Genomic DNA, 23,017 nt, shown 5'->3' with positions numbered 1-23,017 from the left:
ACCAGACTTCATCAGAAAGGGATACATCAGATATGGTAAGGTGCAAACCAATAGGTTGGGATGCATAAAATGTGTGACTTCACATACAGATGTCCTTGCTGTTTGTGGTATTGGTATGGGTTTATACTGCGCAAACACAAAAATTCTGGTGAACCTTATGTCATGCAATTCCCATCAAAAAAGAAAGACTAGTAAATGGATAGTTCATGCTCTGCTCTTTTGAGTATATTCTTGACAGAAGGAACATCCTTTTTGACTAGATGCTGTACAGAAAGAGTTACCTGCTTATAATTGTACACACCTGATGAAAAGAAGCCTTTTTCTGCCTACCAGTTTCTCATACTGTACATTTCAAGCCCTGTTTCTCCTCTCTTTGCACAATCCTTTGGTCCTGGACACTGTAGGAGGCTTTCATGTTGGGATGTAGCCCCTGACTTTGCACCCTTATTTCACCACCTAGGATATGTCCTTTAAAGTGGGCAGAAGGATTCCTGAAAGTTATTCCTACACTTTGACAGAAATATATATCAAAGCGAATGTCAATCACAAAAATATACAACCCAGTCTAAATGCACCCTAACTCAACTTCCCCTAAATCCAGTCCCCAAAATATTGGTAACCTATCCAATCTCACTGACTTGAAGTCAGATGTAATGGAGGGTAAGTCAAAGTGGAAATAACATTTTTAACTAATTGCAGTAAACCTGTCTTATTTTTACAAATCTTTGGGGCCCTGAAGCTCAAGCTTTTTCAGCTTTTATAGTATATCTGCTTATGCAGATAACATCAATTATTTTCCATATTGTAAGCAACAAATTCAGTCAACCATATACCACGCCTTGTCCTGGGTACTGAACAGAACAAAAATTAACAAAGCACAATCTTAAAATTTTTTTTTAAATTTTAATTATTATGAGTACATATTGGCTGTACATATTTATGAGGTTGATGTGATATTATGATACAAGCATACAATGTGTAATGATCAAATCAGGGTAATTAGGGTATCTGTTACCTCAAGCATTTATTATTTTTTAAACTATCTTTTTTGAGACTAGGTCTCACTATGTTGCCCAGGCTGGTCTTGAACTCCTGGGCTCAAGCCAAGTAACTGGGATTATAGGTGCGTGACACCACACCTGGATTAACAAAGCATACTCTTTTACTTATTTATTTATTTATTTATTTATTTTTTGAGATAGAGTCCCGATCTGTCACCAGGCTGGAGTGCAGTGGTGTGATATCGGCTCACTGCAACCTCTGCCTCCCAGGTTCAAGAGATTCTCCTGCCTCAGCCTCCTGAGTAGCTGGGACCACAGGCACACACCACCATGCCCAGCTAATTTTTGTACTTTTAGTAGAGATGGGATTTCACCGTGTTGGCCAGGATGGTCTCAATCTCTTGACGTCGTGATCTACCCACCTCAGGCTTTCGAAGCACTGGGATTACAGGCATGAGCCATCATGCATGGCCAGCACAATCTATTTTTTAATTTCCATTTTTATTTTACATTCAGGGGGTATACGTGCAGGTTTTTTACAAGAGTATATTGCGTGGTGCTGAAATTTGGGCTTCTATTGCTCCCATCACCCAGATAGTAAACATAGTACACGATAGGAAGTTTTTCAGCCCTTCCTCCATCCCTCCCTCCCTCCCTTCTTTCTTTTGGGGTCCCCAGTGTCTATTGTTCCCATCTTCAGGTCCAAGTGAACCCAAGATTTAGCTCCCACTTATCAAGGAGAACATGTGATATTTGGTTGCCTGTTTCTCCATTGGTTCATTTAGGATAACTGCTTCTGTCTGCGTCCATGTTACAACAAAGGACATGATTTTGTTCTTTTTTATGGCTGCATAGTATTCCATGGTGTATATGTACCACATTTTTCTTTATCCAATCCACTGTTAATGGACATCTATGTTGATTCCATTTCTGCTACTGTGAATAGTGCTGTGATGAACACACGAGTACATGTCTTTTTGGAAGAATGATTTATTTTCTTTTGGGTATATACCCAGTAATGGAATTGCTGGGTCAAATGGTCGTTCAGTTTTTGGTTCTTTGAGAGATCTTCAAACTGCTTTTCATAGTGGCTGAACTAATTTGCATTCCCGCTAACAGTGTATAAGTGTTCCTTTTTCTCTACAACCTCACCAACATCTATTATTTTTTGACTTTTTGATAATAGCCATTCTGACTGGTGTGAGATAGTAGTATCTCATTGTGCATTTCTCTGATGATTACTGATGTTGAGTATTTTTTCTTATGTTTGTTGGCTGCTTGTCTGTCTCTTTTTGAAAAGTGTCTGTTTATGTCCTTTGCCCACTTTTTAATGGAGTTGCTTTTTCTTCTGGGTTTATTTAGGTTCCTTATAAATTCTGGATATTAATCCTCTGTTGGATGCATGAGTTGCAAATATTTTCTCTTTCTGTAGATTGTTTGTTTACTCTGCTGAGAGTTTCTTTTGCTGCAAAGCACAATCTTGACTTGCAAAACTCACAGTGTCAGGTCAGGGAAGAGAGACAGTCTCTTGAAAGGGCCATAACACACATAGACACATAGACATATGAACAAACACCACCTGGTGGCATCTCATTTCCCCAACACACATGCGTATATTACTGGTATCTCTGTTGGCAAAAAGAAAGCAGTCCTGAGGCCACAATTATTCAGCCTAAGTCATCTATCAAGAATTACCTATTTGGAAGTAGATGTTGACAAAACGATAAACCTCCAAGCCAAGTCTTCTGGTGACCCACATGTTCTGGCTTCTTTTAGAGATGTAAGTCCTTAGGGGAGCTAAAAGGCACATGTTTGCTCTTGGCTTTAAATTCCCGTATTATAACAGATGGTCATGGTGCAGCCATACGCCATTAAAACTAGGGAGAGATATTTAGGCTCAAGTTTTAAGGTAATGAGGGAACTTGGTGGAGTGGGGTGGAGAGAGCGTTTGTCATAAGCGATTTCCCTGCAAGATTTTGACTTTGGCATGAGAATTTCTTAGTTCTACTGCACACAACTGCACTTTACGAGGCCTTGACCCAGTACGTGGAAGAAATAGAGAAAGCAACAGGAATTCATTTTTAAGTCAGAGGTTCCCACATTTTCTCAGTCAATTAGGTGCCCTTAGCATCTCTAATTTTTCCACTGCACCTCTAGGTCAAAATAAATTGCTAACAATAGCACTAAAAGTAGCTTAGGTCTAAACAATTATTACTCATACCTTTTTTTTTTCTTTTTTACTTTTTTTTTTTTTTTTGAGACGGAGTCTCGCTCTGTTGCCCAGTCTGGAGTGCAGTGGCGCAATCTCGGCTCACTACAACCTCCACCTCCCTGGTTCAAGCAATTCCCCTGCCTCAGCCTTCCGAGTAGCTGGGATTACAGGCACACACCACCATGCCTGGCTAATTTTTTTGTATTTTTGGTAGAGATGGGGTTTCACCATGTTGGCTCTACTGGTCTCAAACTCCTGACCTCAGACAAACCACTCACCTCGGCTTGCCAAAGTGCTGGGTTTACAGGCATGAGCCACTGTGCCCGGCCTTACTCATATCTTAACAACTTAGTTGTTGCTTAAATAATAGTACATATAAATTGAAATAAAAATATTTTTTATTTCTATTTCTTTTCTTTTTCTTTTTTTTTTTTTTTTTGAGACTGAGTTTCGCTCTGTCGCCAGGCTGGAGTGTAGTGGCTTGATCTCTGCTCACTGCAACCTCTGCCTTCCAGGTTCAAGTGATTCCCCTGCCTCAGCCTCCCAAGTAGCTGGGACTACAGGCACATGCCACCACACACAGCCAATTTTTGTATTTTTAGTAGAGAGAGGGTTTCACCATGTTGGCCAGGATGGTCGCAATTGCTTGACCTCGTGATCTGCCCACCTCAGCCTCCCAAAGTGTTGGGATTACAGGCGTGAGCCACTGCGCCTATTTCATTCTTAACCACAATTACTGAGTGAGGTGTGTTTGCCTGTTGGGCATGACACAACTCAAACTTTGGAATTGGATGGAACACCAAACTGATTCTTGTGCAATACTTGCTTTTATTTCAGCAACGGCTGAAAACTCAGGTCGACAAAGAAAGTATGTAATGGAAAGGAATGTAGCACCATGCAATAATAAAACTGTGAACTCCCTTGAGCTAATAATTCATACAGTGTCCAACAGATGCCGCTATGTTCACAGCTCAAAAATACTCCATGTCACTGCAGAGCGCATGTTTGGAACTGCTGTCTCAAATTTGTTGCCATGCTTTGTTTTCTGTAGCTTGTTCAAGAACAATGGGATGATGAGAGGTGATATGAGTGAGAGAAGGGGACAATTGAAAGCAGTGAGAGACTCAAGCTGGATTTATGGCATTCTGCCACCAGGTTACCCCACATACACACAGCCACTCTAATTGGAATCACTACATTCGTGACGAAACTCTGGTGGGCCTTAGTACATTCCCATAGTCCATTCTCTCCCCAACCCTCTTAACTATTTTATTTATTTATTTATTTTGAGACAGAGTCTTGCTCTGTTGCCCAGGCTGGAGTGCAATGGCATGATCTCAGCTCACTGCAACCTCTGCCTCCCAGGCTCAAGTGATTCTCCTGCTTTAGCCTCCCGAGTAGTTGGGACTACAGGTGCCTGCCATCATGGCTAGCTAATTTTTTTTTTTTTTTTTTTTTTTTGTATTTTTAGTAGAGACAGGGTTTTGCCATGTTGGCTAGGCTGGTTTTGAACTCCTGATCTCAAATGATCCTGTCCGCCTCGGCCTCCCAAATTGCTGGGATTACAGGCATGAGCCACAGAACTTGGCCCTCTTAGCTATTTTATACCTTTGCTACTCTTCTCAAACTTTGAACACTTTGTACCCACACTCAAAAGCAGATGATCTTGCTTCATACTTCACTGAGAAGAGACTTCACAGACTCTCTTCATCACATCTCCACCTACATAACTTGCCTCTTCACCTATTACCACAGATGAACAGAACCATCTCAAGTCAATGCCTCCATTTGCATGCCAAATCTCATCCTTTCTCATTGTCTTAGTTCACTAGGGCTGCTATAACAAACTGCCTTAGACCGGATAATTACTAAAGAACAAGAATTTATTTCTTACAGATCTGGAGGCTGGGAAGTCCAAGATCTAGGCACCAGCAGATTCAGTGTCTGGTGAGGGCCTGTTCCTCACTCACAGATTCTTGCTGTGTGCTCACACGGTGGAAGGGTAGAAAGGGCCAAAAACGCTCCCTCAAGCCATTTTATTTTTTCAGGGTACTAATCCCATTCACCTAGTAGCTTCCTAAAGGCCCCACCACTTAATACTCTTGCATTGGGGATTACATTTCAACATGAATTTTGGAGGGACACAAACATTCAAACCAGAGCACTCATACACTCATGGAATCACTTCAACATTTCTCCTCTCTCTCTGCTACATTAGCATTTTTTCACCCTCTACCAGATCATTTCCAAGAGCATACATGCTGTTATTTCCTTCATCTAAAAAATAAATAAATAAAATTAAAATCATCCATTAACCCTTCTTCCCCTGCCAATGACTTCCCCATTTATTTTCTCCTCTTTGCAACAAAAGTCCTCAAAAGAATTATCTGTACTCACAGTCCAATTCCTCTATTCCCGTTGTCCCATAAATCCACACCAATCTTTCTTTCTCACACCATTCCACTTAAACTTTTCTTATCAAAGTCTCCAGTAGACTCTACGTTGTGAAATTCAATGCTAGATCTAATTCAAAAATACTGTTTTTGATTAGCAGTATTTGACACAGGTGATTGCTGTCTTTTTCTTGAAATATTTTTTTCAGTTGGCTTCCAGGATACCACAGACCTCCATCATTGGCTCCTACGTCTCAGTTGCATGTGCTGGGTTTTTTTCTTTTTCTTCCTCCACCTTTGGTGATCTCATTCAATACCATGGTTTTAAAGGCATTCTATCTACTGGATTACAACCAAATTTACATCCCCATCCCCAAAATTCTCTCCTAAAATCTAGACATGTATGATTGCCCTACTCATATCCCCCCTCATTTGAGTAGTAGATATTTCAAACTTAACATAATCAAACTGGAGTGCTGATCTTTGTGAGGAAACCTGTTCTACCCATAGTCTTTCCTATCTCGGTTGATGGTAAATCCATCCTTCCAGTAGTTCAGGTCAAAAACCCAAGGGTGTGTGTGTTCCACACAAGTAGGAGTAAACACATTCTACCATATCTCTTCCTTCAGCTACAGCTAAAAACCCTGGACAAAACACATAAAATAAATATCAGAAGACTGAAAGGTGGAGAAAATATGGAAAATTAGCTAGATACTTTAGGATTCAAAAAAGGATATGGAGGTTAGTTTCCTATTTAACTTTTTCACTTATATATTCTGGACTGGAGAATCTCAGAATCTGGAAACACCATGCAAATAGCTGACAAAAGAAATGTCCCAAGAAAAGACTGCTCTTTTTAGCCAAACCACAAGATTTGATTAAAAAGCATTCTTTTTAATCAGAGGGGAGATCCTCATGGTCCCTTCTGCATCTTCTGGACATTCTACCTCTATCAGAAAATCCTTCTCTGCTATCAGCCTCCACCACCAGCCTCTTATGATCTCCCATGGACATAATCTTTTGAAACAAAATTCAGAAAGTTTTACAGGTGAATTTGCTTTTTAGCCCTAAAACACACTTCTATGGAAGGAGTAAAATTAAGCTGGATACTTCCTTGAGTGGTGGAAGGAAAAGAGGAAATTACATGGAAAAGAAGAAAAATCCTAGAAATGAACCTCTCAAGATATTCTCCAAGCACATGAGTAGAAGAACTGCTCTTGGTAAAGGGAAAGTGGCATGAGCCCCTGGTGACTTGGCTCTCTACCCTCTCTTCTTTCTGCACTGAAGCTACAGAGCTCCTCAGAGCACTTTGAAAAACACCAAATAGTGGCAGAAATAGATGGAGCTCAAAGAATGTGCTGTTCCATCCACAACCAACATAAATAATGGATCCTTACAAATAGAACTGAAATGTTAACTGCATCCCAAATTAATGGTGCTGAAAAGAATGTATTATAGACCAGTGTCTCAGGCTAAATGTGGATGATACAGTCATCACTGTGCCCAGACATCTGGTACATAAACACTTGGATATTTTGGAGCAGGATGAGCAAACACAATGGCAAAGCTCTGAAAGGCAACCGGCCAACTGAGCAGAGAGGTTAGCAGAGCTGACCAGCACATGGAAACAAATTTTGCTTGCCCATTGACAGGACATGACTTGATTGCATAATGTTGAATTTTTTTCCTTTTTTTTCTCCTTCCTGTCAGATGGGTAATGTGCTGACATCATAACAAGGTTGGAGGGAGGCACATCTCACATGTGAGTGTGAAAACCCAATCACCACATGTATGAACCACAAAAGGATCTCAATATACCTTTAAATAAGAATCTCAACTTTTAAAATATTTTGAAAACACTGAGCCTTGTATCAATATTGAAAAGTCAACTTTGAAATAAAGGGTTGTTTAAAATATTCTATTAGGCCAACTCAGAGTCTTCAAGGGGTGGAAGCTATTACTATCTCCCTTTCTTTAGTAAAAAAAAAAAAAAAAAACTTAAACAGGGGTAGATAACCTCTGAGTAAATTTGATAGGTGCAAAATTCTCTCTTTAATTATTTCCCCAATAATTATTTATCTTTTTTATCCAAGATGATAAAGAGTACTTATCCTCTTGTACCAGATACCATAGTATTTTAATAGAACATTTAAAATATGAGCAATATATCATAGATAAAATACTCAAAGGAAAGATTTGGAAAACTTGTAATACTAGTGCAATGAAATTAACACAGCTTTGGAGTCAGACAAGCCAGAATTTGGTTCTTGTTACCAATTTATCAGTGGCATCTTGAAACCAAAGCAGTCTCAGGGACGATCAGAAAACCAAGGCCATCGAGTACATGTGGGGTTGGGGGAGCCTGGGACTGAAGACCCTATTCTTTATGTTATACTTGGAAGAATCCTAGTAAAATCCTAGAATTAATGTTCTGACACGAAGACAGGCAAGTCACTGACTTGCCAAAGAATCACATCATTTTCGAAGTGAGAGGTACTTTGGTCTCATCATCCAACCAACTCTCCCAATTTGACTTAACGGTTAGAGTGGAGAGAGGGTCAGAAGTATTGGTTTATGGGCTACTTGTATGTAAGTATTGTCTCTGTGTGTGTCTCTGTGTGTGTCTGTGTTTGTGTGTGTGTGTGTGTGTGTGTGTTCATCCTTACCTTATTGGTGGGCCAGTCCCAGTCCCATCTTAAAATCCAAAGTGGGTGAAACATAGGAGGAGAGCAATTCTGTTACTTTGCAGCAAACTAGTGATAGATCTACACAATTTAACATTCAGTTTCTTCCTAGAATTCACAGTTCCCCACAGGGAGAACATACTACCAAAGCCATTTTTTCTAAGTTCATTTTGAGACTCATATACATTTCATATTTAAGATTATTACTTGTTTTACTAAAACACTGTCAAATATGTATTCCTGGTTCCTTTTGTGTACCACTTGGACATATCCATGACTTTTCTAGCAACTTAAATGTTCCCCCTAAATATGTATAAAAGCATAATACTATGACAGGTCTCGCCCTGTCACCCAGGCTGGAGTACAGTGGCACAATCTCAGCTCACTGCAGCCTCCACCTTCCGGGCTCAAGTGATCCTCCCACTTCAGCCTCCCAAGTAGCTGGGACTACAGATGCACACCACCATGCCCAGCTAATTTTAATTTTTATAGAGACAATGTCTCACCATGTTGCCCAGGCTGTTCTTGAACTTCTGGGCTCAAGCAATCCACCTGCCTTGGCCTCCCAAAGTGCTGGGATTACAGGCGTGAGCCACTGCGACTGGCTCATTAGTCTATTTAGATCATGCATATCATCATAGGATTGCAAGAATTATTACAAAATAAGCCATATCACCTCTCCTTGCTGACAAAAATAGACTGGAACTCTGGAAAGAGAAGCTTCCCCTTGATCCAAGAATCTGCACTGATTATGAGCTGCTGCACAGGAAATTTACCAGGCCTCAGCATTACCCTGTGTCCGTTCTAAGTTAACGTGTCATCAATTCTTCAAAACTCAGCTGTTGCTGGCATATCATTTTCCAAACGGAGAAGATAAGTTGCAACATCCATTCTAAACACTAAATAATACCATCTCGATGTACATAGCAAAGCTAAGTAAACATACCAAGAGTGACCATTCATTAGGGAAATCTGCCCACCCACACAGCTGGGAGGCTCATCAGCCCACATGTGTTGAGCACAAGGCACTCTTCTTTTTTCCTTTTTCCAGACAGGGTCTTACTCTGTTGCCCAGGCTGGAGTACAGTGGTGCAGTCATAGCTCACTGTAGCCTCAAACTCTGGGGTTCAAACAATTCTTCCACCTCAGCCTATTAAGTAGCTGGGACTGCAGGTGCATGTCACCACACCTGGCCAATTTTTTATTTTCTGTAGGGACAGAGTCTTACTATGTTGCCCAGGCTGGTATCGAACTCCTAGGCTCAAGGGATCCCCCTTCCTTGGCCTCCCAAAGCGCCGGGATTACAGGTGTGAGCTGACACCAAAGAACTCTTGATATACATAACATCATCTAATACTTACAGCAGCCCTGCTATTACTACTCCCATTTTATAGACATGGAGACTGAGGCTCAAAGGTCAAATAACTTTCCCAAATTTACCAATTAAGGGGCAGCATCTCAGTTCTACCCTTGGTCTAATTCCAAAGCCTCACTAGAGAACAGAATGTACAATTCACATCACCTCTAAAGATCGGGGTGAGATTTCAAAGGCAGTTACTTCAGGCTGTGCTTCCAGATGTAGAGAAGAGCCAATCACTCGCTTCCCATCCGAAAAGTTTCAGGAGCTCCAGGTTCTTTGCCTGTCCTTGAACACACTCCTGCTTTTCCAGAGCTGTTGCTCCTCTCAGGTCAGCAGAAGCACATGGGGAAGCGGCAGGACCCTGAGATGGCAACCAAGAGGCGTAGGGTCAGGCTCAGCTCTGTTACTATCAGCCAGAGCTTCCTGGGCTTTCTTTTAGAGCAAAGTAAGAGGATAGTACTAGATCCTTGATTTCAGCTGTGCTATATCCAAACCCAAATAAAAGACGCCTGGCTTTTTAGTTAGCTTAATCTCAACAGTCTCTTTCTACCCTAAAATGCCATAGTTTGCAGTGATTTCTCACGAAGCCTTCCTTCATAGCTCACCCAGCCCACTGTGATCTCTTTCTGCTCTGAATTCATGACTCACCCTTGCCATATAAAATGCTGCCCCAACATTTAGCAGGGCTGGGACAAGAATATAAAGGGAGAACCATGTACCATTTATCTAAATATGTAAAATGTATAAATCAAACTAATAAGCTGTCATATATGCTCTATTCTTCTACCCTGTCAAAATCATCTTCAGAATGCACTGAAAGCCCAGGCTTGAGTTTAGAATCCTCAGAGCTCCTGGAAGCCTGTTCTGGAAATGTATATGAACACAGCCACTCTTGGTCTAGGACTCTGGCCTGCAGCCCTCCCAGCTTTATCTCCAACCTGGCTCTGTTTCCACAGCAAGAAGGGGGGTCCCAGGTGTGGACACACCAGTACACACACACATGCCATCAACCTTCACACACACACACACACACACACACACACAGCTGTCTCTTGCCTACCACTGGGTTCCTTGGAGAACAGATCCGAAAAGAGGCACATTCAGGAGTTGTGACTCTTCCCGGATGTGGCTTAGAGTTGGCTCAGGACTTTTTAGACTGGGTATTCTGCAATCCCAGGAGCACGGAGCAGGGTCCAGAAGAAGGTGGGTGGCCCCTTACTTCCTGCCTCCCCTCGCCCCTCTCGCACACACCATGCACTCCTTTCTTGGAAGGTGGCCTTTGGATGGAAGAAAAGCCAGGCTCTTGAAGACATATGTGAAGAGCAAGGGACCCTGTTGTTGGAGTGTGAAGGCAGCACTAACTTCCTGACACGACTTTCATCCTTTCTTACCTTTACCTCACCTACTTTCCTCTTGTCAGATACGATCTTGAGAAAGCTCTGCTTCCTATGAGTCCCAGCCTTTCCCTAACTATCAGGGATGGATAATTGTCTTAATCAGTTCAGGCTGCTTTAACAAAATACCACAGACTGGGTGGTTTGTAAACAATAGACGTTTCCTTCTCACAGTTCTGGGGGCTGGAAGTCCAAGATCAGGGTGCCAGCATGGTTGGGGGTCTGGTGAGGGCCCTCTTCTGGGTTGCAAACTGTGGTCTTCTCATTGTATCCTCACATGGTGGAAACAGGGCAGGAGAGCTGCCTGGGATCTCCCCTCTAAGGGCATTAATCCCATTCATGAGGACTTCACCCTCATGACCTAATCACTTCCTAAAGGTCCCGCCTCATTATACCATCCTAACAAGAGATTTCAACACATAAATTTGGAGGGGGAAGTGCACATTCAGTCCATAACAATAAATAATTGAATATTTTACTTTCAGGCTATTGACAGGTTTTCCTCTGCAGAATGCCTTTTCTGTTACAAGAATCTTTATTTAGCATTTATATAGAGTTCTAGAAACCTAAACAATCAATAATCAACCATTTAGATTTAACTATCACAAGGGTCATAGCTATAAAGCATTTCTTCACTTAGTGTTTCTTCATCTTTAAGTCAATCTTTTAATTCATTTGTGGTTTACTGTAAATAGATTTCTCCAGCATATTCATCACATAGAATATGAGAGCTATACTCTCCGAAACCACGTATATCCACATGTATGTTTCTGTTGCTACCTGGATGAAGGATACTTTGACTGGGTATGGAAACCTTAGCTTGTAATCTTTTTCTAGCACTAGTTAATATATACAATCCAACTGTTTCCTAGTTTCCAGTGATGACAGACGAGGCATTCAACATCACTCCAATTCTTTTGCTTTAGTAAGTTTCTTATTTTCAGTCCGGAAGCTTTTCAGTTTCATCTTTATGCTTAGAGTTCAGCTATTTTACCAGGATATGCCTAGGTGTGGGCCTTCATAGTCTTTTCTGAAGAGGCATGCACCCTCTCCATTTACAAATAAGTGTCTCTCTCCTACTTAGGGGTCTCCTCATCTATTACCAGTGTTTGCCCCTCTGTTGGTTTTTTCCTCCTGGAACTTCTATTATTTGCATGTGAAGTTTCTTAGATCTGTCTTCCAAATTCCTCATCTTTCCCCTCACAATTTGTGTGTTTTGAAATTAGCTTTCATTTGATTTCCTAGGTCACAAATTTGTGTCTCAACAATAAATAACCTCTCTTCAGTTAATCTACTGAATATTTTAAAGGAATCATTTGCATTGATGGAAGTAAAACTTTTATTGAGGGATAATACACATACATGAAAATGTATAGATTATACGTGTCCAACTCAATACATTTTTTGTGAGGGGAAAAGAAAATAACATAACAGATTATATAATAAACCAAAATAGAAATTATAAATCAATGGTTTATAATTTCTCTTTCATCACATAGCATATGAGAGCTATACTCTCCCAAACCATATATATCCACGCATATGTTTCTGTCGCTACCTGGATGAAGGATACTTCGGCTGGGTATGGAAACCTTAGCTTGTAGTCTTTTTCTAGCACTAGTTAATATATGCAGTCCAACTGTTTCCTAGCTTCCAGTGATGACAGACAAGGCATTCAACATCACTCCAAATCTTTCGCTTTAGTAAGTTTCTTATTTTCAGTGCAGAAGATTTTCAGCTTTTCAGCTGATAAATCAATAATTTATAATTTCTCTTTTGGTCTATTATTTAATCTGTTATATAAAAGGCTTTAAGTTATTTTATTATACAAATTTTAAACATGCACAAAATTACAGAGAATAGCACAAGAACTCTTGCACACCGCTCCCCAGATTCAACAGTTCTCGAGTTTTCCATACTTACCTACCCACGTCTATTTTCTTTTTCTTTGTTAAAAGTATTTTAAAGAAAATCCTAGACAACATGTCCTTTCTCTCCTGCATACATTAGCCCCTAAAGTATAACAGCATTATCTTCCTTAATCCCAATGTTATCACACCTAATACAATTAACGATAATTCTTCAGAGACATTTTATAATCAGACCATGATTAGATTCTTCCAGTTGTCTCAAAAATACTTGTACATGGTCTGGCGCAGTGGCTCATGCCTATAATCCAGGCATGGTGGCACATGCCTATAATCCCAGCTACTTGGGAGGCTGAGGCAGGAGATTTGCTTGAACCTGGGAGGCAGAGTTTGCAGTGAGCCAAGATGGCACCATTGCACTCCAGCCTGTGCAATGAGAGTGAAACTCCATCTTAAAAAAAAAAAAAAAAAAAAACTTGTACAGACTGTTTATTCGAATTCAGATCAAATCAAAGTCCATTCATTTCATTTGCATATTGTAATTTCTAAGTCTCTTTTAATCAAATTGATTCCTCCCTCTCTCCCTTGCTTTCTGATGTTGGCTTATTTAAGAAACCAGACAAGCTGTCCTATAGAATGTCCCATATTTTGATTTCTTTTTTGTTTCCTTGTGGTTTTCACTTCCTTCTTTATCCCTTGTGTTTCCCTAGAGGCTTAGTTAGATTCAGGCTTAACTTTTTTTTTTTTTTTTGGCAAGAATACATTACAGTTGGTGCTGTGTGCTTCATATCACATTACATCAGGAGGCACCAAATGATCAGTTTCCATTTTCAGTGATGCTGAGATTGATCAAAGAATTCAAGTAGTGACAGCCTGACCCCTCCATTCTCCTTCCCCACCAACCCATCACGAAGTAATGTTATCCTCTGGTGATTGCTGTGTGACTCAATTGTTTCACCAGGGGTGGCAAAGTGATGGTTTTCTGATTCTGTCATTCCTTATTCATCTATTAGCTGGAATTCCTCAGTAAATAATAATTTTCTCTCTCCAATTAGAGCTATTTAATTATCCTGAAAGACAAGATGAGTGCTTAATTCATCTCTTTTAATTGTAAATTTTCAGAGTAAGGAATTGGTGCCCTGGTATTTGCAATGGTGTCCAATGAGCTGGAGCTCTCTTTCTCTCATATGTTCAATTTGCTCATTTAATTGAATGAATATATTTTTCTTATTAATGCCCAAATTGTGCACTTTTGGCTATGACTTTATACTTGTTTCTCTTTTGTCATACTGAAAATTTTGGTTATTAATAACATCAGCCTAATTATCTATTTTTATTATCCTACACTATGTAAAAATTTCAAAATACTAGTAATACAGTATACCTGCTTAAAATTAAACTACCCAGTCAACTCTAACATTTACTTGCACTTCTATTTGCCCTTAGAATATATCTCTATAAGCACACATAGTCAAAATATTATGTTCTAAAATCACTTGAAACAACTCTTTTGTCAGTATGTCATACACATTGACTCATTTATTGTTGTTTGAATTTAATTTTTAGTTTTTAAACTTTTTTTCTTTTTGAGACGGAGTCTCACTCTGTCACCCAGGCTGGAGTGCAGTGGCACGATCTCGGCTTGCTGCAAGCTCCGCCTCCCGGGTGCACACTATTCTCCTGCCTCAGCCTCCCAAGTAGCTGGGACTACAGGCGCCCACCACCACACCCGCCTAATTTTTTGTATTTTTAGTAGAGAAGTGGTTTCACCATGCTAGCCAGGATGGTCTCGATCTCCTGACCTTGTGATCCACCCGCCTCTGCCTCCCAAAGTGCTGGGATTACAGGCGTGAGCCACCAAACCTGGCTTAGTTTTTAAACATTTTATTTTTGAATTGTCTCTGAAATCAAAGCTATATAGCAAATGACTCTCAAGAGAGACCTGCTTATATTCCTGTCCCCTTCATTCTACTTCCTCCCTCTCCATAAAAGCAGCTATTTTTATTAGCTTTAATTTTATCTTTCTAGCCTTTCTTTTAACAAATATAAACTGTACCTGCATTCTCCTTGCTTGCTTGCACACTGGGTTGCATACTATATATTTTTTATTTACTTATTTATATTGAGACAGGGTCTCACTCCATCACCCAGGCTGGAGTGCAGTGGCACGATCACAGCTCACTGCAGCCTCGACCTCCCGGGCTCCAGCAATCCTCCCCTCAGTTTTGCAAGTAGCTGGGACCACAGGTGTGCACCACTACGCCCGGCTAATTTTTGTATTTTTGGTAGAGATGGGGTTTTGCCATGTTGTCCAGGCTGGTCTCCAATTCCTAAGCCCAATTGATCCACCTGCCTCAGCCTCCCAAAGTGCTGGGATTATAGGCGTGGCCACTGTGCCCAGCTTGTTGCATACTATATATACTATTTTCAGTGTACTTTCTTCATTTAGCAATATATCCACCATTCACTCCACAGCAGCATGTGGTGGCCCTCCTCTTGCCTCTTTTACTGCTACATGGCATTACATTGGGAAAATGCGTCATAGTTTATGTAACCAGTCCCCTAATTAGATGCATAAATCATTTTATATTTTTGCTAGTGTGCCTTTGGGAAATTGAATTGCTGGGTCAAAGTATAAATGCATATACTTTTTTTGTAGACATTGACAAATTATTCTCCATTTTGCATTGCTACCAGTTTTAGAGTGTCTGTTTCTCCAGTGTCTTATCAATAAAACTTATTGTCAATTTTTGTTACTATGACAGATTAAAGTTGGGTGCGGTGGCTCATGCCTGCAATCCCAGCACTCTGGGAGGCCAAGGCTGGCAGATCACGAGGTCAGGAGTTCAAGACCAGCCTGGCCAACATAGTGACACTCCGTCTTCACTAAAAACACAAAAATTAGCCGGGCGTGGTGGCAGGCACCTGTAATCCCAGTTACTCGAGAGGCTGATGCAAGAGAATCGCTTGAAACTGGAAGGCAGAGGTTGCAGTGAGCCGAGATCACACCACTGCATTCCAGCCTGGGTGAAAGGGCGAAACTCCGTCTTGGAAAAAAAAAAAAAAAACAGATTAAAATGAAATCTCAATGTAATTTGACTTACATTTATTTTACATGCATGCAATTGAGCATTTTTTCATATGTTTAAGGCCATTTTTATTTTTCTTTGAACTCTATATTTTTGTACATTGTTTACTGTAAGTTAATTTGTACTTTTTTTTTTTTTTTTTGAGACTGAGTCTCGTTCTGTCACCCAGGCTGGAGTGCAGTGGTGCGATCTGGGCTCACTGCAACCTCCACCTCCTGGGTTCACGCCATTCTCCTGCCTCAGCCTCCCGAGTAGCTGGGACTACAGGCACCCGCCACCACGCCTGGCTAATTTTTTGTATTTTTAGTAGAGACGGGGTTTCACCGTGTTAGCCAGGATGGTCTTGATGTACATTTTTTAAACAACTTTTCAGAGACTGATATGGTTTGGCTCTGTGTCCCCACCCAAATCTCACCTTGAACAGAGATCTAGCCCTTTATCAGAGACTTAAATTGCAAATATCTTTTCCTAGTTTGTTAATTTATCTTGTGATCTTGCATCTGAATTTTTTTTAGATGGAATCTCACTCTGTCACCCAGGCAGGAGTGCGGTGGCACGATCTTGGCTCACTGCAATCTCCACCTCCTGGGTTTAAGCCATTCTTCTGTCTCAGACTGCTGAGTAGCCGGGATTACAGGTGTGTGCCACCACACCCGGCTAATTTTTGTATTTTGAGTAGAGATGGGGTTTCACCGTGTTGGCCAGGCTGGTCTTGAACTCCTGACCTCAGGTGATCCACCCTCCTCGGCCTCCCAAAGTGCTGCAATTACAGGCGTGAGCCACTGCACCCAGCCTTGCATCTGAATTTTTTGTCATACAGTATTATTTAAATTTTATGTGGTCAAATTTATACCTGTTTTTGAGACAGAGTCTTGCTCCATTACCTAGACTGGAGTGCAGTGGGGTAAATCATAGCTCACTGCAACTTCAAACTCCTCGGCTCAAGCAATCCTCTTGTGTCAGCCTCCTGAGTAGCTGGGACTATGGGTGCATGCCACCACTCCTGGCTAATTTTATAATTTTTAGTAGAGATAAGGTCTTGCCATGTTGCCCAGGCTGGTCTCCAGCTTCTGGGCTCAGTGGATTCTCCTGCCTTGGTCTCCAAAAGTGTTCGGATTACAGGTGTAAGCCACCATGCTCAGCCAAAATTTGTACATCTTTTAGACATTGGTTTTGGATTTTTAATGATGGTTTAAAAAGTTTTCTTAATTCTCAAGTCATAAAGAAATTAACACATGCCTTCTAGTACTTATAGCTACATTATTTACATTTAGATTTCATCCATTTGGAATTTATTCCTGTGTATTTTTTCCCACATAGCTCAATATTATTTATGAAATAATTCAAAACTTCCCCATGACTTGAGATAATACCTTCACTATTTATTAAACTTCCATAACCATATATGTCTGTTTCCAGTTGTGCTATTCAAATGCGAACTTTGGCCTGTTTTTCTATCACATATCAATACCATGAAGCTTTGAATATAGAAGTTTTATAATGTTTTAAATAACTGATGGGATTAGCCTCCCACATTGCGCTTTTTCCAAAATTTTCTTTGATAGTCTTGTTTATTAATTTTACTTATTTATTCATTTATTTTTTGAGACAGAGTCTCGTTCTGTCGTCTAGGATGGAGTGCAGTGGCATGATCCTGGCTCACTGCAGGCTCTGCCTCCCAGGCTCAAGCGATTCTCCTGCCTCAGCCTCCCAAGTGTCTGGGGTTATAGGCGTGCACCACCACGCCCAGCTAATTTTTGTATTTTCAGTAGGGACAAGGTTTAGCCATGTTGGCCAGGCTGATCTTGAACTCCTGACTTCAAGTGATCCACCTGCCTTGGCCTCCCAAAGTGCTGGGATTATAAACATGAGCCACCTTGCCTAGCCTATTAATTTTTTTTAAAATACAAACCCTATAATCTAGCTCCAGAGGGCAAAATCAGCGTTTTTAATGGAATTGCATCAAATTTATATAGTAAGGGGGAAATTACATCTTAAGGAATTAAGTCCTCCTATCAAGAACGTATTATGTTTTTCCAATTGTTTAAGTCAACTTTGTGTCTTTTATTAGTGTGGCCTATAATGGCATTTCAGTCAATAATGAGCCACGTACATGACCAAACTACCTGGCTAAGGAGTGTGGACCAGGAATACGGTCAGAAATCTTTTAAATCAAGTTTTTAGGAGGCTGCTCCAATGATCAACAACATCAGATGCCTGTGGGTGGTAAGGAGAGAAAGGGCCATCAAGTAGCTATTTGCTGGTGGTTCACAGAGCTGAAAATATGGCAAAGATTATCTTCAAGGGCCACAATGATGTGGCCAGAGTTGGTTAATGGAACTAGAACAATAACACCACCACCTGAAAAGGTGTCAAGAGTAGCAGGGCACCACCATAGTCCCATGAAGGGCCCAAAGGTCAGGCTGTGGGCGGCAGCAGGGAAAGCATCCCTGCCACGAGGCCACACCATTGTGAGACAAGTAGGTCAACTTGTGGCAGGAGCTCCAGTGGGAGCCCCCGCATCATAAACATGGAGTCCTGCACGTTGTGCCATCCACAGTGGTGGGTGCGTTCCCACATCCAGCACAGCGATGGGTCCAGAGAGCAACGTGGCCATCTGCTTAGTGCAGGCTCCACCGGCAGCTTGGCTCTAATCGGTCTCATCAGAGAAGGGGCCTTGATCATTTCCATCTATGTGAGTGACCCAGATGTTTCTCTCAGCAGTCACGATTTGTTTCCACAGTTTGTGACCTGCAAACGGGATGCTGTTCATCTGGAATCTGTAGTTTTCCAAGTGGCTGACCAAATGCTTAGCCGTTGACAACAGCCCAAGAATGACTAAAAATAGGGCAAGTTGCATCAAGGGCAGTCTTGGCCAGACCTGCAAGAACAGCCATGCATTCTGCCTTCTGAGCAGACAGCTCACATCTGTTTTTGGATCTGTGTAGTCACAGCAGCTCAGGGGACACCACTGGGGTTCAGCTTGGAAAAACCATCAGTGACCCAGGCCCATGCATTTAGGGGAACCTCTGTAAAGTGAGGGCCCCATGGAGCCACAGCTTCGCCTCAGGTGGTGAATAGGAGATAAAATTTCCCTCAGAGGGCTTGTGCCCACTGTTTTGTGTACAGCCGAGATGCTGCTGGGGCCAGGCTGTCCAAATTCCATTTTCCAGCCTAGGCTTGTTGGACCCTTCTCACCATGTTAGCGATTGAGTCTGAGTTTAAACAGACCAGAGAGTCACAAGGCCTTTATAGGTCAGGTGTGCAGTTTCAATTAGAGGACAAGACCAAGCTGATAGCTGATTTTCAGAAGGAGTATGCCTGGTAGTCACAACAGGGAAGTGACAAGTTCAACACTTCTGGGCATGTGTTTGGGTGGAGGGTGTCTCCCATTGCCAGGGACCCCATTTGGCATAATCATTGGTCACCATGACCTGAAGCTCAAAGGAACCAGGAGTGTGTGAATCTCCAAGGGTGCTAGCATGTCTCTACATGTGGCTTTTCCCAATCAGAATCATCCCCTCTGGCACTTGCAGGACAGAGAGTACAGGCATATCAGTTCCTATCATACCTCTAGATGTAGAAGAAGCTACAGCAGCTATACTGATTAATTTTATACCTTACAAGAAAAATATAAATTTTATATTCCTATTGAAAGGACCCTTTGTATCTATTTCTGCTTGGGTCCAATCAGGAGAAAGAAACCAGACAGTAATTTAAACAGGGAAAGTTGAATATAAAAGAATTAGGTATAACAAGGGATTGGAATAATGAGGCATTGACTAGTAAAACAAGAACCCTAAAAAGTGTGGAAATAACAAATATAAGCAGCAGCCTCTATGCTTAAGTCTGAGATAGAAGTTGCCTGTCCCCTCAAAAGGGCTGAGATCCAGAGCCTATTGAGAGGATGTGGCCATGGCTCACTGGATTGTGGAGAAGTCCCTGTGGTGCTGTGCTAGTCACATTAGTCAGAAATCTGCCCCAGACGGTTCTGGGAAAGCTGCTTGTAGGGAAGGGCTGAGCTACGAAACTACTCAAGGATGCTGGTAGGGAGGTGAGTTGCTGCTGCTGGGTGCTGCTGGCTGCCATGCCTTGCAGAGGCTGAGAACTAGAGAGGTTATGAGCTCTGCAGGAGCTGGGTCCTGGGGAAACCATGTGCTCTAAAGGAGCTGGACACTGGGGAAGCTGCCAGTCTGCAGGAGCACACCTGAACCAAGGGGCAAAACCCTCTCCTTCTGTCTAGTCTACTGACAAAGTTTAGCATTGTTCCAGCTGGCAAAGTATTGAAAGGGCCCACATCTGTTTGCATAGAGCAGGCAAAAAAGGGTGAATTTGGAGCTGAAAGGTGGTAAGTGCATGACTGACACAGTGTATCTGTTGGAAGGGACCTCTACTTGTATCTATATCTTTAAAAAATAACTGGAAGCAAATAGGAGAAAATATTAAGTTAAAATTCTATGTGGTGGGAATTTTGGTATTTATTATATTAGTTTTATAACTTTCTATATGTTTTAAATTTAGCGAAGAAAAATCTTGGTGAGAAAAAGTGATCGGTATATAGCAGTTCAATCTTTTCTAAAGGAGTGAGTATAAGAGTATTAAGCATCTCTCTACTTAAAAAGAAACTGATCTGCATGAATTTTTAAAACTTGTGTGACCTAAATTCTGTTGAAGAAATAAAAAGAAGTTGTTCCCAGTGTTCATTCGTACATTCATTCATTCTTTAAACATTTAATGAGCATTTTTTCCATGCCAGTAACCAGACCAGGTACAAGGTCTCAACCCTCATGTTCCTTACAGTCCAGTGGGTAGGAGGCAGAGGCAGATTCTCAGATAATTAAAGTGGACCTGATGCAGGTGATGCCTAGTTGTGAGGCAGGAAATAGTAAGAATTATCTAGGTAAAGAGAGGCAGGAAATATTTTCCAGAGAACAAAATAAATGTCTGGGAAGGAAAACGTCTAGCCCAGCTTGTCACTTATAAAATAATTAAACCAAGAGAATGGAAAATGTTATACTCTAAATAAGGAATGTCTGTAGAGATGAGCTCTATTTTAAATAAAATGATTAGTAAGTTTGATGGAGTCAAAGTTTTTATAAATGATCTATGAACCTACAGCTCCTATTTTGCCAGGAAAGCTAAAAAAAGAGGTTCTATTTGGGCCTCAGTCCGTTTCCTGGCTATCTTCTAATGTTGATGGTTTTAAGTGGTTGGGATAACTTGGCATGCATTTCAGACTAGAATCAACACATTCTGGGACAGGTGACATAGACAGCTTTCATGAGATGAGCCTTTTATCACATTCATCTTCTCTAAAGTGAGAGGAGTGTGACATTTCCTTGCTCTCTTCTATTCATCCTGGGCTTCTTAAAGAGATACTGCAAGATAAACTTGAGGTTTTCTATGCACGTGTAACTGAGTATTTCTGATTTTATTGTCTCTGTATTAAGGCATGCTGCAATTCTTTCTTTTGGGAGAAATCCCTGTGTTATTATTCCAGTATCTAGAGTGATTCATATGTCTGGAATGACAAGACGATCCCATATTGAAGCCACTGATAATGCCATCGTTATTGCTGTGCTGGGAAGAGATCCAAGACTAGTAACTAAATCAGCTGATCTTCAATGTGTGTAAAGCACTTAAGCTACCCTGCAATTCAGGGTTTCCACTTGCACAGACTTGACGATTGAATTCTGATTTCCACTCAGGGTTTTCTATTAACATTGTGAGAAAGGATTAGTAAAATATTGACTTATGGAATTTTGTTCTGGGAGAACTAAAACAGAAGCTAACCTGTTATTGCAAATAAAGTCTCTTAACTAAAACGTTGAATCTTGAATATCGTTGCTATTTACTTTTATTATGTGTGCAGTTATTTAAAAGACGTCTTTAGAGTAGTTTTAGGCTCACAGCAAAATTAAGCAGAAAACACAGAGAATTCCCATACACCCCATATGCCACTCATCTCTCCCCAGCCTCCCCCTCTATCAGTATCTCACACCAGAGCGGTACATTTGTCACAATTGATCAACCTACATGGACACTTATCACCCAAAGTCTATAGTTTACATTAGGGTTCACTCTTAATGCACATTAAGACAAATGTATGACATGTACTCACCATTATCCTCTCATATGGAGTAGTTACACCACCCTCAAAGTCCTCTGGGCTCTACCTATTCATCCCCCTCAACCCCACCTCCTGGAAACCACTGATCCTTTTACTGTCTCCATTGTTTTGCACTCCCCAGAGTGCCATATAGTTGGAATCATACAGCATGCAGCCTTTCCAGACTAGCTTTTTTCACTTAGTAATATGTATTTAAGATTCCTCCATGTCTCTCCATGGCTTGGTCATTTCTTTTTAGTGCTGAATAATAATCCATTGCCTGGATGTTCTACAGTTTACTTATCCATTCACCTATTGAAAGACATCAGGGTTTCTTCGAAGTTTTGGCAATTACAAATAAAGTTGCTTTGGAACCAACCCAAATGCCCATCAGTGATAGACTGGATAAAGAAAATGTGGCACGTATACACCATAGAATACTATGCAGCCATAAAAGGAATGAGATGAGATCATGTTCTTTTCAGGGAACATGGATGAAGCTGGAAACCATCATTCTAAGCAAACTAACACAGGAACAGAAAACCAAACACTGCCTGTTCTCACTCATAAGTGGGAGCTGAACAATGAGGACACATGGACACGGGGAGGCAAACAATACACACCAGGGCCTGTCAGGGGTGGGGGACTAGGGAGACCAGGACAAATACCTAATGCATGTGGGGTTTAAAACCTAGATGACTGGTTGATGGGTGCAGCAAACCACCATGGCACATATATATCTAGGTAACAAACATGCACATTCTGCACATGTATCCTGGAACTTAAAGTAAAATAAAAAAAATTTTAAAATAAAGTTACTATAAATATCCATGTGCAGGGTTTTTGTGGACATAAACTTAGGGTTCCATAAGTTTTCAGCTCATTTAGGTAAGTATCAAAAACCTTG

General features: G+C 41.1%; 1 non-coding gene across 1 annotated transcript, besides 1 other annotated feature; it reads right to left on the bottom strand.

The window, feature by feature from the left end:
* On the bottom strand, window positions 7,311-7,414 carry LOC124903258 (small nucleolar RNA U13). Its single transcript, XR_007063957.1, has one exon. It is a non-coding gene; the product is annotated as a small nucleolar RNA U13 (small nucleolar RNA).
* Window positions 13,232-13,461: a silencer, noted in NCBI's record as "fragment chr13:103368105-103368334 (GRCh37/hg19 assembly coordinates)". NCBI's record gives its function as "represses an EF-1alpha promoter that drives an FKBP-Casp9 reporter gene in an ReSE screen in K562 erythroleukemia cells {active_cell/tissue: K562}" and the evidence as "EXISTENCE:reporter gene assay evidence [ECO:0000049][PMID:32094911]".

The sequence above is a fragment of the Homo sapiens genome, chromosome 13, assembly GCF_000001405.40.
Source record: "Homo sapiens chromosome 13, GRCh38.p14 Primary Assembly".
Taxonomy (NCBI): Eukaryota; Metazoa; Chordata; class Mammalia; order Primates; family Hominidae; genus Homo; species Homo sapiens.
This window is presented reverse-complemented; position numbering and strand designations above follow the sequence as displayed.